The 20,874-nt window shown below is 44.8% G+C and overlaps 1 protein-coding gene across 6 annotated transcripts in view, besides 5 other annotated features; it reads right to left on the bottom strand.

Moving 5' to 3' along the window:
- The window catches only part of ATP2A2 (ATPase sarcoplasmic/endoplasmic reticulum Ca2+ transporting 2), a 70,478-nt gene extending 51,681 nt beyond the window's left edge, over positions 1 to 18,797 (bottom strand). For 4 of the 6 annotated variants that reach the window (NM_170665.4, XM_011538402.4, NM_001413014.1 and 1 more), the window contains exons 1-5: positions 17,506 to 18,166; positions 16,792 to 16,809; positions 16,618 to 16,700; positions 7,289 to 7,393; positions 2,676 to 2,814 (exon numbers count right to left, since the gene is read on the bottom strand). In NM_170665.4, the coding sequence (NP_733765.1) occupies positions 2,676 to 2,814; positions 7,289 to 7,393; positions 16,618 to 16,700; positions 16,792 to 16,809; positions 17,506 to 17,623 (463 nt within the window). In that variant the 5' untranslated portion in view covers positions 17,624 to 18,166. Of the gene's footprint in view, positions 1 to 2,675; positions 2,815 to 7,288; positions 7,394 to 16,617; positions 16,701 to 16,791; positions 16,810 to 17,505; positions 18,167 to 18,448 lie in introns of those variants that run through there. The other 2 variants (NM_001413015.1, NM_001413013.1) reach the window with 2 other exon arrangements.
- Positions 16,717 to 17,471: an enhancer, noted in NCBI's record as "H3K27ac hESC enhancer chr12:110719747-110720501 (GRCh37/hg19 assembly coordinates)". NCBI's record gives its function as "activates a minimal SCP1, AML or CMV promoter by ChIP-STARR-seq in primed H9 embryonic stem cells {active_cell/tissue: H9 hESC(primed)}" and the evidence as "EXISTENCE:reporter gene assay evidence [ECO:0000049][PMID:30033119]".
- Positions 16,717 to 17,808: a biological region, named in NCBI's record as "H3K27ac hESC enhancer GRCh37_chr12:110719747-110720501".
- Positions 17,299 to 17,808: a silencer, noted in NCBI's record as "silent region_4855". NCBI's record gives its function as "represses an Ori minimal core promoter by ATAC-STARR-seq in GM12878 lymphoblastoid cells {active_cell/tissue: GM12878}" and the evidence as "EXISTENCE:reporter gene assay evidence [ECO:0000049][PMID:35858748]".
- Positions 17,899 to 18,498: a silencer, noted in NCBI's record as "silent region_4854". NCBI's record gives its function as "represses an Ori minimal core promoter by ATAC-STARR-seq in GM12878 lymphoblastoid cells {active_cell/tissue: GM12878}" and the evidence as "EXISTENCE:reporter gene assay evidence [ECO:0000049][PMID:35858748]".
- Positions 18,589 to 18,658: an enhancer, noted in NCBI's record as "active region_6998". NCBI's record gives its function as "activates an Ori minimal core promoter by ATAC-STARR-seq in GM12878 lymphoblastoid cells {active_cell/tissue: GM12878}" and the evidence as "EXISTENCE:reporter gene assay evidence [ECO:0000049][PMID:35858748]".

Below are 20,874 nucleotides of genomic sequence, written 5' to 3'. Positions count from 1 at the left end.
AATGTTACTGTCCTCATTATCTCTTGCCTAGACTACTAAAATAGCCTCCCTATATCTTCAGCCTTCCCCATTCTGACCTATTTTCTTCATCACCATCAGAATTCCCTAATTCAAATATTTTTTGCTATTAAAAAAAATGTGGGCCAGGCGCAGTGGGCTCACGTCTGTAATCCCAGCATTTTGGGAGGCTGAGGCAGGACTGCCTGAGCCCAGGAGTTTGAGAGACCAGCCTGGGCAACAGGGCAAGACCCATCTCTACAAAAAAATACAAAACTTAGCTAGGAGCTTGGTTGCTCATGCCTGTGATCCCAGTTATTCAGGAGGCTGAGGTGGGAGAATCACTTGAGCCCAGGAGGTCAACGCTGCAGTGAGCCGTGATGGTGCCACTGCACTCCAGCCTGGGTGACAGATTGAGACCCTGTCTTCCCCTCATCAAAAAAAGTGATAACTGGTAAATTCTGAATAAGATCTTACATACTATTGCATCAATTTCCTAATTCTGATAATCATACTGAGGTTATATAAGAGAACATCCTTGATACTATAAAACAAATGTTATTTAGGAGTTAAAGGGGCATCATGCCTGCAATATACCCTTCAACAGTTCATACAAAAATGTGTGTATACAGAGTGAAAAAATAATACATCTGTGATAGTATAACATTTGTGTCAAAACAGAAAATTTGTTTTTTTGAGATGGAGTCTGGGGCTCTGTCGCCCAGGCTGCAGTGAAATGGCACGACCTCGGCTCACTGCAACCTCTGCCTCCTGGGTTTAAGAGATTCTCCTGCCTCAGCCTCCCGAGGAGCTCGGACTACAGGTGGGAGCCACCATGCCCAGCTGATTTCTGTATTTTCAGTAGAGACAGGGTTTCACCATTTTGGCCAGGATAGTTTCGATCTCTTGACCTCATGATCTGCCCACCTCAGCCTCCCAAAGTGCTGGGATTACAGGCATGAGCCACCACGCCTGGCCAAAACAGGAAGTTTTAAAAAATCCAATAGCCAAGACATTTCATTCTGAGTTGTACTCTTCTTAACACTATACTTAAGGAAGCTGTTAAATCATTTACACACACCATTTACACACAAACACTACACAGTCCCAAATAATTGGCTTACTGGCATATATGTAACACTATCCTTTTTTTCTGGAGGAACAACAAAAATTTCTGGATGAGAGAATAGGACAAGGCAATTTCCTTTCAGAGGCCAAAGTTGTAGAGCATGGGTTAAGGAATGCAGCTCTTTCAATTCATTAAAATGAGTAAGACAATAAAGACAAAGCACACCCTTCCCAAGTCAATATAAAAGCATATTACTATGAGATAATTCACAAATAGCAACAAAGTAAATAGTATACTTAACTCAGAAGGGTATGAAAAGCCAGATAATCTGAATAACAGTATGCAATGACTCTCTAAGTGAAATAGCCAAAACAAACAACCCACCTAGACTATCCTGGTTGGTCCCAGGGGTGTTGTGATTTTGGACTGTCAGAAATATGGCTGCTGGGCACACCTGTAATCCCAGCACTTTGGGACGCTAAGGCAGGATCACTTGAGCTCAGGAGTTTGAGACTAGCCTGAGCAACATGGCAAAACTCCCTCTCTACAAAAAATATAAAAATTAGGCGAGTGTAGTGGCATGCATCTGTGGTACCAGCTATTTGGGGGGCAAAGTGGGAGGATCGCTTGAGCTTGGGAGGTGGAGGTTGCAGTGAGCTGAGATCATGCCACTGCACTCCAGCCCGGGTAACAGAGTGAGACTCCCATCTCAAAAAACAAAACAAAACAAAACAAAAAAACAGCACTAATCTACAGCAGTGAGGATACTGACCCTTGGAGGTCTGTGGAGCATTCTGGACTCACAGTGGATTCATGGACTCTTTGAAGCTATCTCTGGAATTCAGGCAGAGACTCCTGGCTCAGTGTAACACATAAGTATTTTTAAGCATACTGTTTTTTTTTTTTTTTTTTGAGATGAAGTCTCACTCTGTCATCAAGATGGAGTGCAGTGGTGCGATCTCAGCTCACTGCAACCTCCGCCTCCCAGGTTCAAGCGATTCTTCCTGCTGCAGCCTCACAAGTGGCTGGGACTACAGGCACACACCATCATGCCCGGCTAATTTTTGCATTTTTAGTAGAGATGAGGTTTCATGTTGGCCAGGGTGGTCTCAATCTCTTGACCTCGTGATCTGCCTGCCTCGGCATCCCAAAGTGCTGGGATTACAGGCGTGAGCTACCAAGCCTGGCCAAGCATAGCTTTCAGAGTCAAGAAATTACCCTTGACCATGAACTTTGGTGCCAAGAAACAAAACAGGAAAAACTGTGTCGTCATTAGCCAGTATTCTAACAAATTGTTCACTATAACTAACTGTCAAATCAACATTAGGTTTTACCTCTCTAGCACTTGTGTTCTACAATGTATTTAAACAAGTAGAATTCAAAATACCTTGTTTAAAAACAAAAACCAAAAGCCTTATCAATGACAGGAAGGGAGGTGCTAAAACATTTCAAAATAATTTTAGAGAATGTAGGATTTGTATGAATGGCAATAAAATGTGTTAATTGATACATGAAAACAATTATTTTAAATATAATTATGAGCCTTGAGAAAAGGACTACATTCAGAAATACTATCTAGAATAAAAGAAAAATGACAAACTCAACTCACCAGCAATTTCTACAATATCACCAGGAACTATGTCTTTAGCTTTAATCCGCTGCACACTCTTTCTGTCCTGTCGATACACTTTGCCCATTTCAGGCTCATATTCCTTAAGGGCTTCGATGGCATTTTCAGCATTTCTTTCCTGTATAAAAGAAAACAGAAGAGTAGTAAAGACCTGCCTGACACTGCAATTATTTCTAACCCAAGGAATAAAATGTTAGAGGTCTAATCTTTAAAAAGAAAGGAAGCCCACCAGTAACATTTGTACTAAACAATTCACATCTAAGGCAACAGACACAAGGACATTTATTAATTTGTATTAAAAACGAAACGTTAAGTACCCTCAATTAAGCTAAGGGGATAAAACAATGAGGAAAAGCAATTACAGACTCTGCTGTCCCTAAGACTGTAAAACACAGCTTTCACCTTTAGCCAAATCCCCCTGCCATTTAAAATCAATTCTGTCTCATGAGAGGCAGTACAGCTTAATAGTCTGGGCTCAGGAGGCTGAGGCAGAAGAATCGCTTGAACCCGAGAGGCGGAGGCTGCAGTGAGACGAGATCCTGCCACTGCACTCCAGCCTGGGCAACAGAAAGAGACTATGTCAAAAAAACAAAACAAAACAAAACAAAAAAAACCCCAACCCAACCCAACTCTGGGCTAAGCTGCCCAGGTTCAATACAGGCTCTTAACAGCTATGTCACTGTAGAGAGGTTACACAACACACAAGTTTACTGTCTATAAAATGACAACACTAACAGTTCCTACCTCAAGGTTTGTGAGGATAAGAAGTCATATGTAACATGCTTAGATTGTGTTTGGGCACACAGTAAATGCTATGAGTGATGAGTATCTCTCACAAATTCTAAGAACTATCCCTCCAGTTGTAAAGACCAATGAATGGCTGGACTCTCATCATAGCACTGCCAGTCCCAAGCTATATATTTCTCATGACATCATATATGAACTATCAACCGTTAGAAGTCACAGTAATTTTCTTCCCGATTTCAGAATGGAAGTTGTAGAATCAAACCAGCCTAAAGAGAATCAAATGACACAAAGATGAAAGCTGGTAACACGTGTACCTCAGTTTTGATGTATATACCCCAGAAAAAGTATAAAAAAACCTTAATTGGGAAATTCATGATAAAGTTAATTTCAATCTCATATCAGACATTCTTACCCTTCAAGATCATGTTGGGTGGAATTTAACTGGACTGCTCAAGGTTAAACAAATATCCCATGAGCACTGTATTTTGCATGTGCTTAAATTATCAGCTGAGCACAGTAGCTCATGCCTGTAATCCCAGCACTTTTGGGAGGCTGAGGTAAGAGGACTGCTTGAGCCCAAGAGTTCCAGACCAACCTGGGCTGAACATAACGAGACAGTGTCTCTACGAAAAATGCAAAAATTATCCTGACATGGTGCCATACACCTGCAGTCTCAGCTGCTCAGGAGGCTGAGGTGGGAGGATCACTAAGCCTGCGAGGCAGAGATTGGAGTGAGCTGTGATTATGACACTGCACTCCAGCCTGGGCAAGAGTGAAGCTGTCTTGGGGGAAAAAAAAGATAAATTATCTCTGACCCTGAGAACAAAGATGACAATTACAATCAATGAAAAGGCTGGGCATGGTGGCTCACACCTGTAATCCCGGCACTTTGGGAGGCTGAGGTGGGCGGATCGCCTGAGGTTGGGAGTGCGAGACCAGCCTGGCCAACATGGTGAAACTGTCTCTACTAAAAATACAAAAAATTAACCAGGCGTGGTGGTGCACGCCTGTAATCCCAGCTACTTGGGAGACTGAGGTGGGAGAATCTCTTGAGTCCGGGAGGTGGAGGCTGCAGTGGGCCAAGATCGTGCCACTGCACTCCAGCCTGGTTGACAGAGCGAGACTCCGTCTTAAAAAAAATAAAGCCCTCCTTGATGACACTGGTCAGAAATAAAAGACTATGCCCCTCATACTACCTTATACTGTCATTATAATTTTCCTTACTTTCAGAAGGCCACAACCCTCTATTGCTGCTCATACCATTCAGTATACTAAAGACTTAAGAATGTTCTTTTTTTAAAAACTCGAATCTTTTTTTTCTGAGACGAAGTCTAGCTCTGTCGCCCAGGCTCGAGTGCAGTGGCATCATCTCGGCTCACTGCAAACTCCGCCCCCTAGGTTCAAGCCCTGCCTCAGCCTCCCAAGTAGCTGGGGGCGCATGCTACCATACCCAGCTAACTTTCTGTATTTTTAGTAGCGACGGGGACTTGCCATGTTGGCCAGGCTGGTCTCGACCTCCTGACCTTAACTGATCCACCCGCCTCAGCTTCCCAAACTGCTGATACTACAGGCATGAGCTACCATGCCCTGACCAAATATAATTTTTTTGAGAAAAACATAAGAAGAAGGCCAGGCACAGTGGCTCACACTTGTAATCCCGGCACTTTGGGAGGCCGAGGCAGGCGGATCACAAGGTCAGGAGATCGAGACCATCCTGGCTAACACGGTGAAACCCCGTCTCTATTAAAAGTACAAAAAATTAGCTGGGCGTGGTGGTGGGCACCTGTAATCCCAGCTATTCGGGAGGCTGAGACAGGAGAATGGCGTGAGCCCGGGAGGCGGAGCTTGCAGTGAGCCAAGATCATGCCACTGCACTCCAGCCTGGGTGACAGAGTGAGACTCTGTCTCAAAAAAACAAAAAAAACAACAGCCAGGCATGGTGACAGTCACCTATAATCCCAGCTACTCGGGAAGCTGAGGCAGGAGAATTGTTCAAACCCACAAGACGGAGGTTGCAGTGAGCCAAAATCACACCACTGCACTCCAGCCTGGGCAACAGAGCAAGACTCCATCTAAAAAAAAAAAAAAAAAAAAAAAAATATATACACACACACACACACACACACACACACACACACACACATATATATGGCACAATTACAAATCTCTAAGTAGGCCATCTTTCTATGAACCTACCACATAAAGATCGTTAACATTTATTGGTAAAGATTAGAAGTTTACAATTTCAACAGGACTAAGTATGTTTATAAGATGTGTCGGGCGTGGTGGCTCACGCATGTAATCCTAGCACTTTGGGAGGCCAAGGCAGGGGGAATCATCTGAGGTCAGGAGTTTGAGACCAGCCTGACCAACAAAATGAAACCCCATCTCTATTAAAAGTAAGTAAGTTAGCTGGGCATGGTGGCACGTGCCTGTAATCCCAGCTACCCGGGAGGGTGAGACAGGAGAATTGCTTGATCCCGGGAAGTGGAGGTTGCAGTGAGCCAAGACTGCACCATTGCACTCCAGCCTGGGCAACAAGAGTGAAAGTCGGTCAAAACAAACAAACAAACAAACAAACAAAAAAAAAAAAAAAAAAAAAGGCCGGGAGTGGTGGCTCACACCTGTAATCCCAGCACTTTGGGAGGCCGAGGTGGGTGGATCACGAGGTCAGGGGTTTGAGACCAGCCTGATGGTGAAACCCCGTCTCTACTAAAAATACAAAAATTAGCTGGGTGTGGTGTCAGGTGCCTGTAATCCCAGCTACTCAAGGAGGCTGAGGCAGAACTGCTTGAACCTGGGAGGCGGAGGTTGCAGTGAGCCGAGATCGTGCCACTGCACTCCTGCCTGGGCGACAGAGAGTCGGTCTCAAAACAAAAACAAAAAAAAGGTCTACTTCAGTCCTCAAAGGGGTGATTATATCCGTCAAATACCTAAAAGATCAACACTTAACATGAATTTTAAGTCTCAGAGTCTGTAGTAAGCACTGAAGGGGAAACAATTTTTATAGCTAAACCTACCAAAAAAACCCAAGGAGAATAAAAATGACATGTAGCTTTTAAAGTTTGTCACAGGAAGCAACTAGGAGACATAAAGATAATGGTTCTCACATTCTCATTTCCTTAAGCAGCTTCTCTCACCCATTTTAATTCCTTGCTACCGTAAAGAATGAACAATGTTTTTCTGAGACAGTGTTGCTCCTTTGCCCAGACTGGAGTGCAGTGTTACGATCATGGCTCACTACAGTCTTGACCTCCTGGGTTCAAGCAACCCTCCCACCTCAGCCTCCTGAGTAGCTGAGACTACAGGCTGGTGCCACCACACTTGGCGAAGAATGAGCAATCTTAACTGCAAAGTTTATATGCATTAAGGTCAAAAATTTGCAATTAATTAAATTAATAGGCCGGGCATGGTGGCTCACGTCTGTAATCCCAGCACTTTGGGAGGCTGAGGAGGGCGGATCACTTGAGGTCAGGAGCTCAAGACCAGCCTGGCCAACATGGTGAAACCCTGTCTCTTACCAAAAAATACAAAAATGAGCTGGGCGTGGTGGTGCGTGCCTGTAGTCCCAGCTACTTGGGAGGCTGAGGCACGAGAACCACTTGAACCTGGGAGGAAGAGGTTGCAGTGAGCCGAGACAACACCATTGCACTCCAGCCTGGGCAACAGAGTGAGACTGTGTCAGAAAACAATTAATTTATGGAATAAAGGGAAAATACATGTAAACTTCCCGCAAACATATTTTTACTCAACACATCAGGAAAAACAGATAACAGAAAGATTAATACAGCCCTAATCACTTACATAACTTATTGAAATTTTGCAGTACAGGAATTTTTGCTTACCTGCCATACACCCACAATTGCATTGGCTACTAATATGAGTAAAATTACAAAAGGTTCTACAAAGGCTGTAATTGTTTCTTCACCTTCTTCAAACCAAGCCAAAACCTAGAAGAGAAATGGCACGTTAGAATGTGTCTTTTTAGGCTTAATGTCACTTTTTTAAAAAGTGGCTAGCACTGGCCGAGCATGGTGGCTCAGGCCTGTAATCCCAGCACTTTGGGAGGCCAAGGCAGGCGATCACCTGAGGTCAAGAGTTCCAGACCAACCTGCCCAACATGGCGAAACCCCATCTCTACTAAAAATACAAAAAATTAGCTGGACATGGTGGTAGGTGCCTGTAATCCCAGCTACTCAGGAGGCTGAGGCAAGAGAATCACTTGAACCTGGGGAGGCAAAGGTTGCAGTGAGCCGTGAGTGTACTGCATGCCATTGCACTCCAGCCTGGGCAGCAAGAGCGAAAACTCAAAAAAAAAAAAAAAAAAAAGTGGCTAGCACTAAAGGGATTATGATAGACAAAATCTATTTTCTTTCTCTAGAAATAAACGGTAGAAAATGCAATTATATAAACAACTGGCTATGTCTTGTTCATAAGAATTCTTGAAAGTCAAAACTATACTTCAGCTGGGCACAGTGGCTCACACCTGTAATCCCAACACTTTGGGAGGCTGAGGCGGGCAGATCACCTGAGGTCAGGAGTTCCAGACCAGCCTGGCCGACATGGCGAAACCCCGTCTCTACTAAAAATACAAAAAAATTACCTGGGCATGGTGATGTGTGTCAGTAATCCCACCTACTGGGGAGGCTGAGGCAAGAGAATCACTTGTACCTAGGAGGCGGAGGTGGCAGTGAGCCGAGATCGTGCCACTGCACTCCAGCCTGGGCAACAGAGCAAGACTCGGTCTCAAAACAAAAAAAAAAGCCGGGTGCGATGGCTCACGCCTGTAATTCCAGCACTTTGGGAGGCCAAGGCGGGGGGATCACCTGAGGTCTGGAGCTCGAGACCAGCCTGACCAACACGAAGAAACCCTATCTCTACTAAAATTACAAAATTAGCAGTGTGTGGTGGTGCATGCCTGTAATCCCAGCTACTCAGGAGGCTGAGGCAGGAGAATCGCTTGAACCCGGGAGGCAGAGGTTGCGGTGAGCCAAGATCGCACCATTGCACTCCAGCCTGGGCAACAAAAGCAAAACTCAAAAAACAAACAAAAAACTATACTTCATGGCTGGGTGTGGTGGTTCAAGTCTGTAATCCCAGCACTTTGGGAGGCCGAGACAGGTAGATCGCCTGAGGTCAGGAATTCGAGACCACCCTGGCCAACAAGGTGAAACCACCTCTACTAGAAACACAAAAAATTAGCCAGGTGTGGTGGCGCACACCTGCAGTCCTAGCTAGTTGGGAAGCTGAGGCAGGAGAATCGCTTGAACCTGGGAGGCAAAGGTTGCAGTGAGCTGAGATCGCACCACTGCACACCAGCCTGGGCGTTAGAGCAAGACTCAGTCTCAAAAAAACAACTATACTTCTTAAAAATACCTTATCTTTTGATGTAATAATTCCATTTTAGAATCCAAATAAAATCTGGGGAGAGGGAATAAATTCCATTCATTTTATATGTATCTATTTAGAAAAAATAAAACTTCAATTCTTGATTAAAGTAAAAGGTGATCATCTAACAGTCATGTTCATTTAGTTATTATTCATATCAAGTAATATCCATGTGACATAAATCCACAGTATAAACAACTTGATCACTGACTTAAATTTTAGAGCATATATAAACTGTTTAATTCTAGGCCGGGAACAGTGGCTCATGCCTATAATCCCGGCACTTTGGGAGGCCAAGGCAGGAGGATCATTTCATGCCAGGAGCTTGAGACCAGCCTGGGCAACATAGCGAGACCCTCATCTCTATAAAAGAAACAAAAAACCAGTTAATTCCCCGTTTCTTTTCAGTGGTACTACTGAAGGCTGTTTCAGAACCGCAAAGCTGTTGGGAGATCCGAAGTGTATTTTGTAGGTTATCCTCCATATGACATTTATACAGCAACACAGCACTTCAGAGATAACCTAAGTCCAAAAATGTAACTGGTCACAGAACACTGCCCCAAGAAAATGGGGCAGAGGTTTAAACTTTTAGCTCATACAACTATAAACTTGTTAAGATTTAAAAACTACAAAGTAAGAGTCACACTGCACTTCCCAATCCAACAACTATAAACGTGGTAAAAAGAGAGAACTCACCACAATGAATACTAAGAATAATGAATATGGTAAAGAGTGGTCTATGTGGTTAAAAATTTAAAAACCTCTTTTTGTGGAAACTTACCAATCCAGAAACAGTGTTAACCACATCTAATGATTTAATCTTGGAGGTCGAATTTTTTTTAATTAAAAAATTGCTTAAAATGTTTGCATATTTCATAATAAAATCTTCTTTAAAAGATCTACTTAGTAAATCATGAAAACACTCCTCCAAATGATTTATGGCAATAATGAATCCAAATGACTCATTAGAAGACGGCATGAATAAGAAATATCTGTTTGAGCAGGACAAAAAGAAAAATAAAAACAGGAGGCACCAGGACCACCAAGTCCTGACAGATGCCAATCACCACCAACGTCCAGTGAGCTAGGGCAAACAGACAACCAGAATGAGTATAATAAATGTTACTGTATGCTTTCAACAGGGCATTCTAGTGTTAAGGCCAGGAATAATGCCAGAATGAAAACTTCTCTAGGAAGTTATAAATTTTGATAGATGCAGGATCACAGCTGCTCTGATACTAGACTTTCAAACATTTGCCAAGGAGAGCATATCAGAAACAAGAAACTTTAATTAGCTCTTGGGGGAGAAAAATCGCTCAACTTGAAGAGTAACTATGACCTTTCCAAAAGGTCAGTGAGGCATTAGCAACTGTAAGATAAGCTTCACACCTTGTTAAAGTGGGTATGAATTTCCCTCTTGGCAGTAAAGCCTGGGGAACAAACTTAAAGCAACATCCCCTGATAGCTAGAGCAAAGGGAAAGACAATGGCAAGCAGTGATGGGACCATCAGAGCAAACCTCTACTTTAAAATACTACAGCCCAAAATGAAGAACAACCATATCAGATCATGTCGGGCAGTCCTTCACAGTTCTGATCTATTGGTAAGAAAACCTCTTGCCTTGTGTAAGGAGAAAGAGGATTGACAACAGAAACCATGAGACTGGGAGGGAGATGGGGTAAGAGAAAGGGGAGGAAAACTGGATGAGTGACATTACTGAAACGCAAGATCCCTTACTGCAGTATTATAGTACTATAGTAATGTGAGTTCATAATTATGGTTTGCCAGAAGTTATACAAAGTATACTTATACAAGGAACTGGGAAAATGTTTCTAAAAATTTTGACAACAGGTTGAATATAAAGAATTATCTGTTTCAAGCCAGGAGCAGTGGCTCACACCTGTAATCACAGCACTTTGGGAGGCTGAGGTGGGCAGATCACCTGAGGTCAGGAGTTCAAGACCAGCCTGACCAACATGGCGAAAACCCATCTCTACTAAAATACAAAAAATTAGCCGAGTGTGGTGGTGGACGCCTGTAATCCCAGCTACTGGGGAAGCTGAGACAGGAGAATCGCTTGACCCCGGGAGGCAGAGGTTACAGCGAGCCGAGATCGCGCCATTGCACTCCAGCCTGGCTGACAAGAGCAAAACTCCATCTCAAGGAAAAAAAAAAAAAGAATTATCTGTTTCAGCTGGGTGAGGTGGCTCATGCCTATAATCCTAATGCTTTGGGAAAATCTCTTAAGGCCAGGAATTGGAGACTAGCTTGAGTAACATAGTGAGACCCTATGTGTATAAAAAAAAATTTTTTTTTAATTAGTTGGGCATGGCAGGGCATGCCTGTAGTCCTGACTACTCGGGAAGATTGCTTGAAACCAGGAGTTTGAGGTTATAATGAGCTATGATCGTGCCACTACTACATTCCAGCCTAGGTGACAGAGTGAGACTCTGCCTCAAAAAAAAAAAAAAAAAAAAAAAAGGGCAAAGCATGATGGCTCACACCTATAGTCCCAGCTACTTGGGAGGCTCAAGAATCAGGCTTCAGCCCAGGTGTCTGAGGCTGCAGTGAGCTATAATCGCACCACTGCATTTACCCGCTGGGCGACAGGAGACCCTATCTCCAGGAAAATTGAAAATTTTAAACAGTGTGTAAAAGGATTATCTGGGCTGGGTGAGGTGGCTCATGTCTGTAATCCCAGCACTTTGGGAAGCTGAGGCAGGCGGATCACCTAAGGCCAGGAGCTGGAGACCAGCCTGGTCAACATGGAGAAACCCCGTCTCTACTAAAAATACAAAAAATTACCCGGGCGTGGTGGTGCATGCCTGTAATCCCAGCTACTCGGGAGGCTGAGGCAGGAGAATCACTTGAAGCTGGGAGGTGGAGGTTGCAGTGAGCCAAGATCGCACCACTGCACTCCAATCTGGGCGACAGAGCAGGACTCCGTCTCAAAAAAAAGACAGCGAAAAGGTAACAAGCTTCATGAACAGCAGCAAAGAAAAGTAAAAGAGAAGACCACTGCCCCATAGTTTTGGACATAAACAGTGTTTCTTCTTCCCTTTGCTTTGTGCTAAATACAATAATACCTGTCTTCTGGGACATACATTATCAAACAAGTTCAATGCTTCAAATGTGCCAGTATTATTCAAAGTAACCACTTGCTAATGAACACTCAACTACATTAAACTGTTAAAAATAGAGTAGGGATAGAGTATCTCCCAATTATTATCCACAAGATTAATCTCTGTACAGCACTGAAATACTGTACAACACTCTGTACTGCATTATACTTCTGATAAGTATACTAAAGCAAAAAAAAAATTTTTTTTTGAGACGGAGTCTCACTTTGTCACTCAGGCTGGAGTGCAGTGGCGCAATCTCGGCTCACTGCAACATCCGCCTCCCGGGTTCAAGCGATTCTCCTGCCTCAGCCTCCTGAGTAGCTGGGATTACAGGGACCCACCACCACGCCTGGCTAATTTTTGTATTTTTAGTACAGGTGGGGTTTCACCATGTTGGCCAGGCTGGTCTCGAACTCCTGACCTCAAATGATCCACCCACCTCGGCCTCTCAAAGTGCTGGGATTACAGGCATGAGCCACTCACTGCACCCGGCCAAATAAAGCAAATTTTAATCCAAGGTAAAAAGCACGTTCTGCTGTAAACTGGGAGACAGTCATGATATTGTGACTCAGATATCTATACACTGTGATAATAGGAAGAGCTCTTAGTATCATAAAAAGAAAACGAAAGAAAAAAGTGCTTAAAAAGATCATAAGCACATTTTGCTCCTAGTATTCTCAGAAACTTGCACTGTGCCTTTGGGCCCTCAAACAATTGCTCAATAAATGAAGAAATTTACATCAAGTTTTTTTTTTTTTTTAAATAAAGAGGAAATGGAAATTAAACATTTCGAGAATGATACAGAGAATTACCAATAAACGTTACGATAATTTCTGGGGGAGGACTTTCAGTCATTAATAAAACGGAAAAAAAAGCATGAATTAGAACTCGTTCCCTTCTGATCCAGATATAAAGCTATGTAAAAACATTCAATGCTTTCAGGCATGAGAAAACAATCTTTTTAAAAAGTACTCTATTAAATCCACCTTTCAAGTCATTATTTTAAGAAAAGCTCTGAATAAACTAGTTAAACCAATCAGTAATTTGCCCTTCTTATCCCATTTTTAAAATCAAAAATTAAAAGATACAGAAGAAAATTAAAATCACTACAAATCCAGTATCAAATGCTTTGAGTATTCTCTTCTGAGAAACTACAGTAAAAAGATCTCATGTATTTTCAGAAAATTCTACTGAAACAAACTCACCCAAGTTTTTGTGACATCAAAAGCACTAACTTAGGCCAGGCGCAGTGGTTCATGCCTGTAATCCCAGCACTTTGGGAGGCTGAGGCAGGTGATAACCTGAGGTCAGGAGTTCGAGACCAGCCTGGCCAACAAAGGTAAACCCCATCTCTACTAAAAATACAAAAATTAGCCGGGCGTGGTGGTGGACATCTGTAATCCCAGCTACTCAGGAGGCTGAGGCAGGAGAATCACTTGAACCCAGGAGGTGGAGGTTGCAGTGAGCCGAGATTGCACCACTGCGCTCCAGCCCGGGCAACAAGAGTGAGACTCCATCTACATTTAAAAAAAAAAAAAAAAAAAAGCACTAACTCAAGGGGGTCTAGTAGGAAGAAAAGAGACACACACATGCAAATGGTCAAATGTAACCTAAAGGTTGAGAAGTACCACAGTCTAGAAAGTTTTATTAGCATTTTAGGGTCAATCTAAGTAGCTGACATGGGAAACGACGGTGGAAGGTAGAGAAACCTATGCAAATTATTACCATATTAATTATGACTTTATGATTTAGACAGATGGGAGACCAACATGGCCCTAATGCCCACCTCCTTCAGATCTTTTCGCAAATGTCACCTTCCTCAAGAACTTTCCGGACCACCCAATTTGAAAACTGTTCCCCCTTTCACATACTCTGATATCCAAACCCCCTTGCTTTATTTTTCTCAGCAGTATTATCCTCCAGGTAAGGGTCTCTGTCTGTTTTATTCACTACTGTATCCCCAGTGTCTGTGACAGGTGCTCAATAAATATCTTAACAAAGCAGGAAAAGAGAAGAAAGGGCAGGCATCAGTTAAGCAACCATACGATGTGTTACATTTAGAACAAAGTTGGTAATCAAGAAGAGAATGAAAAGATAAAGTGAATGATAGAGGGGGGGTCTTCAGTGTCAAATTAAGCAATTTCTAATGTTCATATGCACTGGAAGATGAAGCTTATTTCTTTCAATCCAAGTGACCGTTTCAAAAAAACACTTTGGCCAATATTACAAATTAAACTAGATCCCTACAGGTCACAAGCATAGCTTCCTATTCTATGCCACAGCAAAATATTAACTATAGTTAACAGTTTACTACTTAGTTTGATATTTGAAGTAAGTCACTAATATTCTTTTTAATTTAAGCATGACTTGATGACGCATGATGTATATAAGAATCGCCTAGTCACTTCTCCAAAAAAACCTGAATATTCTACCATGTTTTTTCTGTTACATCAATAGGAATAAACTGACACAAAAAGAGAGTCAGTGCTCTTTCTTTTAAAAGATACAGACAGGAGGAATGAAACACTAAAGACAATGCAGCAGCAGTACCCAACCCCACATGAAGAAAATCAACACAACAGGTCTTATATCTGCAATTCCTTGATCAAACAAACCAAAGCAAATTAATTCTATAGAAGTACTCCCTAAACACTTATTCTTTTGCTATTTACCAACTCATAAAATAAAAATGTAACACAGTTCATTTCCTGAGCAGTAACTCCACAGTTACCAAAAAGGAGCTCAAATTTCAACTCCAAAATATAGCTCTATAATGCTCCACAAAGCCAAGGTCCTATCTTATAAAAAAAATTAAAGCATTTATTTAAAAACCTGCTTGAAATGCTTACAAACTATAAGCCTCTAATTACTTCAAAGTAAAAAATGAACAAACAAAACCCACACACATCATTAATTTAAAATGCTAATATAAAGTCACTCAAACTGGCCACTCAAAAAACAGACCCAGTGCAACCCCAATAGTAACACCAGTGGCATGGTTTCCCACACTGCTTCAACTTGTAACACAGAGAATTCAGTAAAAATGTATTTTGCTTCTGGCTTGTAGTCAGCTGATTAATTTTTAAGAAGTTCCCAATGACCTTATCGGACCCCATTATTTAACTGCCAACGCTATTATGTACCCAGTTAAATACAAATCTTACACTAGCTCCAAATGTATCATTTATTTTGCCCCATGACAATGTATTGATAAACTATAGTTAATCGGGTCTACTCATTTCCCTTAATTGGTAAAACAGCAGCCATTTTCTGGGGGAAAATTTTTTAATCAATCAAGAAGAAACATTTTATCAGAGGTACATTGTGACTGACTCAGAATGCTGAATGGTTTGCTATGTAAGTCCCCATTTTAATCAATGAAAACCACAGAAAAGGTTCTTGGGGACTGAATTATTAATGGCTACACAATACTTGGCTAATATGGCATAATAAAGTATCATAGCAGGATTTATGTAAAAATTATTCCACAAATTTATTTACTGCTGCCACTATCTACTTAAAAGATGGGTATAAATTTAATCTTTTCCTCATCTGAACTAAATAAATGCCCACTGCTTTGTTTATTTCGTTCTCAAAATAGCCCTCTATGGTATGGTTCTCACAAAGACTGAGGCTGATCCCTGGGACCTGCATACATATATGTACAAGAACTGAAACCGTGAAGTTTTGTCAATTTTGTTTTAACTAGAAAGAAGTACTGCACTGGGTGAATTTCACTTATCGTGGTTTTTGTAAGAATAACGTAATTCAAGAATAAAAGGCATCTCATGCTATTAGAATTAGGAACATCTGTGTCCTATTCCTGACCATTTTTAGGAAAACTAGCAAGCAATCTACTGCCCAAGAAAAAAAATGCAACAAAAAATTAATACCGAACATTTAAAAAAAAGTTAAAAACCTAGAAATATACTTGCCACCCCAACACCCTTTTTCTGCTGTAGTTCTTTGCATTTCACTAGTTTCTTAGCAACCATATAGCACTCAAGTGGGTAAGCACACACAGAACAAGAAAAAACACCATGCTGGTTTTTTTCCTTTAAGATCTAGAACCAACTGTACTAAACCTTGTTCTTTCAACCTAAGAATCACTTAAGACAGGGGTCCAATTTAGATAAATATACCACCCTAAAGGTCAGTGACCAAATTTGGTCAACAAGGGTGCCATCACAGCCGTCATCATTCTTGTCACCGTCAGGAACAACTGTCACCTTGCCATTACCAGGAAGGGAAAGCAACTGGAATATTCCTTTTGTAAGTTCTATTTACAGACTACAAAGAGTCCAACATCATCTTAGTATGATCTTACAACACGATAACAATGGAAGAACCCAAAACATTAAAGGCTTCCCAGAAAAGAACTTTTTGATATTAAAAGCTGATAAACCACAAGAATTTCTAAGACCATGCCACACTCTGGGACAACTCCTAACCACACTGTAAATGTCAGGCATCTATTTTCTGAATACCAATGGCTTCAAGTGTTTTGTTTTGTAATTTTAAAATGCCCAGATTGTTTTTAAACATAGAGACACAGCTTGCAACTCCAAATATGTTTTCACCCAATGGACATCATTTGTTTTCTGATTTATCTATGGAATACTTTCAGCTTTTGGGGGGAAAGAAAATAAATTTTTTTATACTTACAAAAGATATACATGCTGCCAGTAATAAAATCCTAACTAGCAAGTCTTCAAACTGCTCAATCACAAGTTCCAGCAAGGTTTTTCCTGTAAGAAACAAACACATGTGTTTTAACTGTCATCTTACCATCAGCACACCAACAGAGGAAAAAAAACAGAAACAGCATGTTAAGATTACCTTCTTCAGCCGGTAACTCTGTAGAATGTAGAAATTCGTCAAGCAATGTGTCAAGAGGGAGGTTAAAAAAAAAAAGAGAGAGACATTTTAGCACTTCGTTTTTCTAAAAAGAACTGCTACAATTCTAAGCATCAATATCTTTAAAACACAGACCTAGCTATAAGAATATCCGATTTTTTTAGCAGAGGGCATACCACGAAGATATCTCAAGGAAGCATGCACTCTTTGTAATCAATGGCCTGAGGTCTAGCCCTAAGCGTGAAATCACTTCGGGCTCCTGAACCTAGGAGTGGTTTCAGCGATGTCATCACTTCTGCCAGATGTGTAACTTTGGGTAGGACAAGAACGGTCAGAGGCCTTCCAACGACCTCGACTCCTCATAAATCGGCAGGGGACGAGAAAACGTCTTGCCGGGCTCAACCTAGCTGCAGAAGCCACGTCCCTCCCTCCACCGGGGCCGGCTGCTGCTGGAGAGAAGCCTCCGAGCCTTGCGCGCCGAAAAGGTCGAGGGCCCGAGAAGCGAAGAGGTCCAGGGAAGGCGAGGCGAGGACCGCAGCCCCTTTCTCTCCCGCGGGGCCGGCGCGCTGGCCCGACCCTCCGCCCGCAGCTGTCGGCGGGCGCGGAGCCGAAGCCCACGAGGTGGAGCCCGGTCAGCCATCTTCCCTGGCTCTCCCGGCCGCGCCGGGCCCCTGCAGCGGAGCGCCCTGCACCTACCGTTGGAGCCCCATCTCTCCTTAAGCTTCTTGACCTGTTCCAGGCTCAGCCCCGTACTCTCGTTGACGCCGAAGTGGCCCAGCACCTCCTCCACCGTCTTGGTGTGCGCGTTCTCCATGGCTTCGGGGGCCCGGCCGGCCTCGCCTCCCGTCCCCGCGGCCTCCTCGCCTCCGCCTCGCACTCCGGCCGCGGGCTCGTGCCACCCCGGGAGCCCAGGCGCGGACGGGCTCTCCCCTCCTCCTCTTGCGGCCGCTTCCGCCTCGCCGGGCGCTGAATCACCCCGCGCCCCCTCCCCCAGACAACCGCCCCTCGCGCGGCCCCGAGCTCCGCAGGGCGGGTTGGGGGCTCCTGACCCACCCTCCCTCCCCTCGCCAGAAGGGAGGGCCTCCCTCGCCCTCAGCCGCCCGCCGGGAGGGCAGGCCGCGGCCCCCGAGCCCCCTCCCCGCTCTCTTGAGGCGATCAGAGGCCCCGCCCGGGCCGGAGGAGGGGGCGCCCGGCAGACCACTGAGGGCGGAACGCGGCGAGGGAGGCGAGCCGGCGGGGCGGTGCGCGGCGCGCTCGCCCGGGTCCCTCAGCGCCGCACGCCCGACAGCGGCGGAGGAAACTGCGGCGAAGGAAAAGGAGGTGGCGTCGGGGACGGCTCCGCGGCGGCTGCTCTAATAGCATTTATCGGCCGCTGCCTCCCCTTTCGCCGCCGCCGCGGCATGTGGACGCCGCTCATTGGCCGAGAGCGCCCAGCGCGGCGCGGGCGGCGCGGCCCCGCCCCCTCCTCCCGGCTCCCTCCTCCCGCGCGCCTGGCGCCCACGCTGCCGCGCAGGCCCCGCCCCCTCCCGCGCGCCGCCCCTAGGAACCCGGATCGAGGCCGCGCGCGCCGCGGTCGCGGGGCTGGCGGAGGGGAAGCTGGGTACCCTCTTCTGTGCCTGCGGTTCTCTGACCCACCCACCTGCAGACGCAGGGTGGGGCGCTCACAGTGGGCACGCTGCTCTGGGGCCGGTGGGCGGATGGTTGGAAGGCGAGGCCGAGGAGCTGGGAGCGCGGTCCACGCGGGGCGTCTCGAGGCGCCCTCGGGCTGATGTCCTTGGCTCGCCTCCTCGCCCTCGGTCGCCCGGGCTGCGCTCTGCATCCTAATCTGGCTCCTTCAGAGCCCCCCTCAGAAACCAAGGGGAGGAATTCCGCAGTTCACTTCCCACACAACCCAAATCCTTCATCTGTCGCCTCGGGAACACCGCATCCTACACCCCCTGCCGCCAGCTCCTTCGCACGCCAGCCCCGATTCTTCCCCAGCGGGTTCTGGGCCCTGACGAGGGAACCCCCCTCGCGGGGGGGAGGGAGAAGAGTTGATTTTATTATTAATAGCTGACGCAGCGCTTGATAGGTGTCTGCAGGGCAGTCACAGTTCACGCCGCTGGAGCTGCCACACAGCAGCTAGACTTGGGCTAGGAGGTGCTTCGCTGTGGCTTTCAGATGAAGGCCATTTCATAGACTCACTTCCCTCGACAGGAGAAAAGGGGACTTGAATCCAAAGCTGCTCTTAAACCACAGATGATTTGCTCTGCTCGGGAGGACAAAGCGCAGGTCACAGCAAGATAAAGGGAATTTTGCCAATATAAAGAAGCTACATTACTTAACAAGGGGATGGGAAATTGCATGGAATTCATGAACAAAACATGAACATATTCTCTTCACAAAGAAGAGCAGCTTTCTTCACGGAGTAGGTTGCAGAATGAAGCAATTAGTCCACTTTTGTGTTTAACAATAACGCACCATCCGCATGAGCAAAAGCAGAGCAGAAAAATCACCTCAGTTGTCTCAAGTGGCTGGGCTTCAGGACTTAAGATAAATTCCTTCAGCAGATGCAAATTACAGTGCATCACCAGCTGAAAAAATCAGGCACGTCATGTCATTTAATTATTTCCAAGGAGTGGACGTTGGCATGTAGTTTTGATTGATACTTGGAAAAGAACCAACAAAACCCTACACGAAACAAACAAACAAAAAATTATACTATATGGCAACGCACTGAGAGAAGCCAGGTGGAAACTGGTTAGGTCACAGGATCAGAGCCGCTTCAAGAGGGGCACGTGAGTGCACGGTGGGAGTGTGGTCATGGAGGGCTGGCTGTTGTTGCCCTCTGAGACCAGCTCTGCACCATTTCGTACCAATTCTTCTCCCTTACCTCCTCTGTCTCTTTCAGGACCGATAGAAGCACTGCAGGCAGGAGAAGGATGGTTTACCTTTCTCAGCCTGGAAATTAGCTTAGGCATTTGATGTTGAATATTCTGTGCCACTGTCACTGCTTGGGGTTGTAAGCACCTCTGGTGCAATTATGAGCTTCTGGAGGAGTTCCTGACCTCAGCCTTTGTATGGAATGCTCTTCCCACAGATCTTCTTCACTTGTGTCGTTCTCTTTCCATTCAGATCGCAGCTTACATGTCCCCTCCTCAGAGATGTCTTTGCTGTCTAAAGTGGCTACCCAGCCACAGTGGCTCACGTCTGTAATCCCAGCATTTTGGGAGGCTGAGGCAGGAGGATCCCTTGAGCCCAGGAGTTTGAGACCAGCCTGGGCAATATAGCGAGACTCCATCTCTACTAAAAAAAAAAAAGAAAAAAATTAGCTGGGCGTGGTGGCCTGAACCTTTAGTCCCAGCTACTCAGGAGGCTAAAGAGAGAGGATCGCTTGAACCCAGGAGGTCAAGACTGCAGTGATCTGTGATCACGCCACTGCACTCCAGCCTGAGCAACAACAGAGTGAGACCTTGTCTCAAAAAAAAAATTAAATAATAAATAAATTAAAAAGTGGCTACTCTCGGCAATTCACCTTCCATCACATTTTTCAGTTTTCTTTTCTTCTTTTTTTTCCTTTGAGACAGAGTCTCTCTCTGTCACCCAGGCTGGAGGACAGCAGCACAATCCCAGCTCACCACAACCTCGGCCTCCTGGGTTCAAGCAGTTCTTGTGCCTCCGCCTCCCAAGTAGCTGGGACTACAGGTGCACGCCACCATGCCTGCCTCATTTTTGTATTTTTAGTAGAGATGGGGTTTCACCATGTTGGCCAGGCTGGCTTCGAACTGACCTCAGGTAATCTGCCTGCCTCGGCCTCCCAAAGTGCTGGGATTACAGGCATGAGCCACCGTGCCCGGTCAGTTTTCTTCACAGTGCTTACTTGTGATGTTGTATTTTGGTTTAGCTGTTAACTGCTTGTCTCCTAGTGTCTCATGGAGCTCTAGGACAGAAGCTCCATAAGAACAGGGCCTGTCCATCTTGTCCATCCTCAGTACAAAGAACAGTCCCTAGTCTATGCTCCTCATTTATTAAATGCCTGCTGTTTGAATGAATGAATTAGTCCCACCATCCCTAGCCCATAAGTGA

Source organism: Homo sapiens, chromosome 12, assembly GCF_000001405.40.
Source record: "Homo sapiens chromosome 12, GRCh38.p14 Primary Assembly".
Taxonomy (NCBI): Eukaryota; Metazoa; Chordata; class Mammalia; order Primates; family Hominidae; genus Homo; species Homo sapiens.
This window is presented reverse-complemented; position numbering and strand designations above follow the sequence as displayed.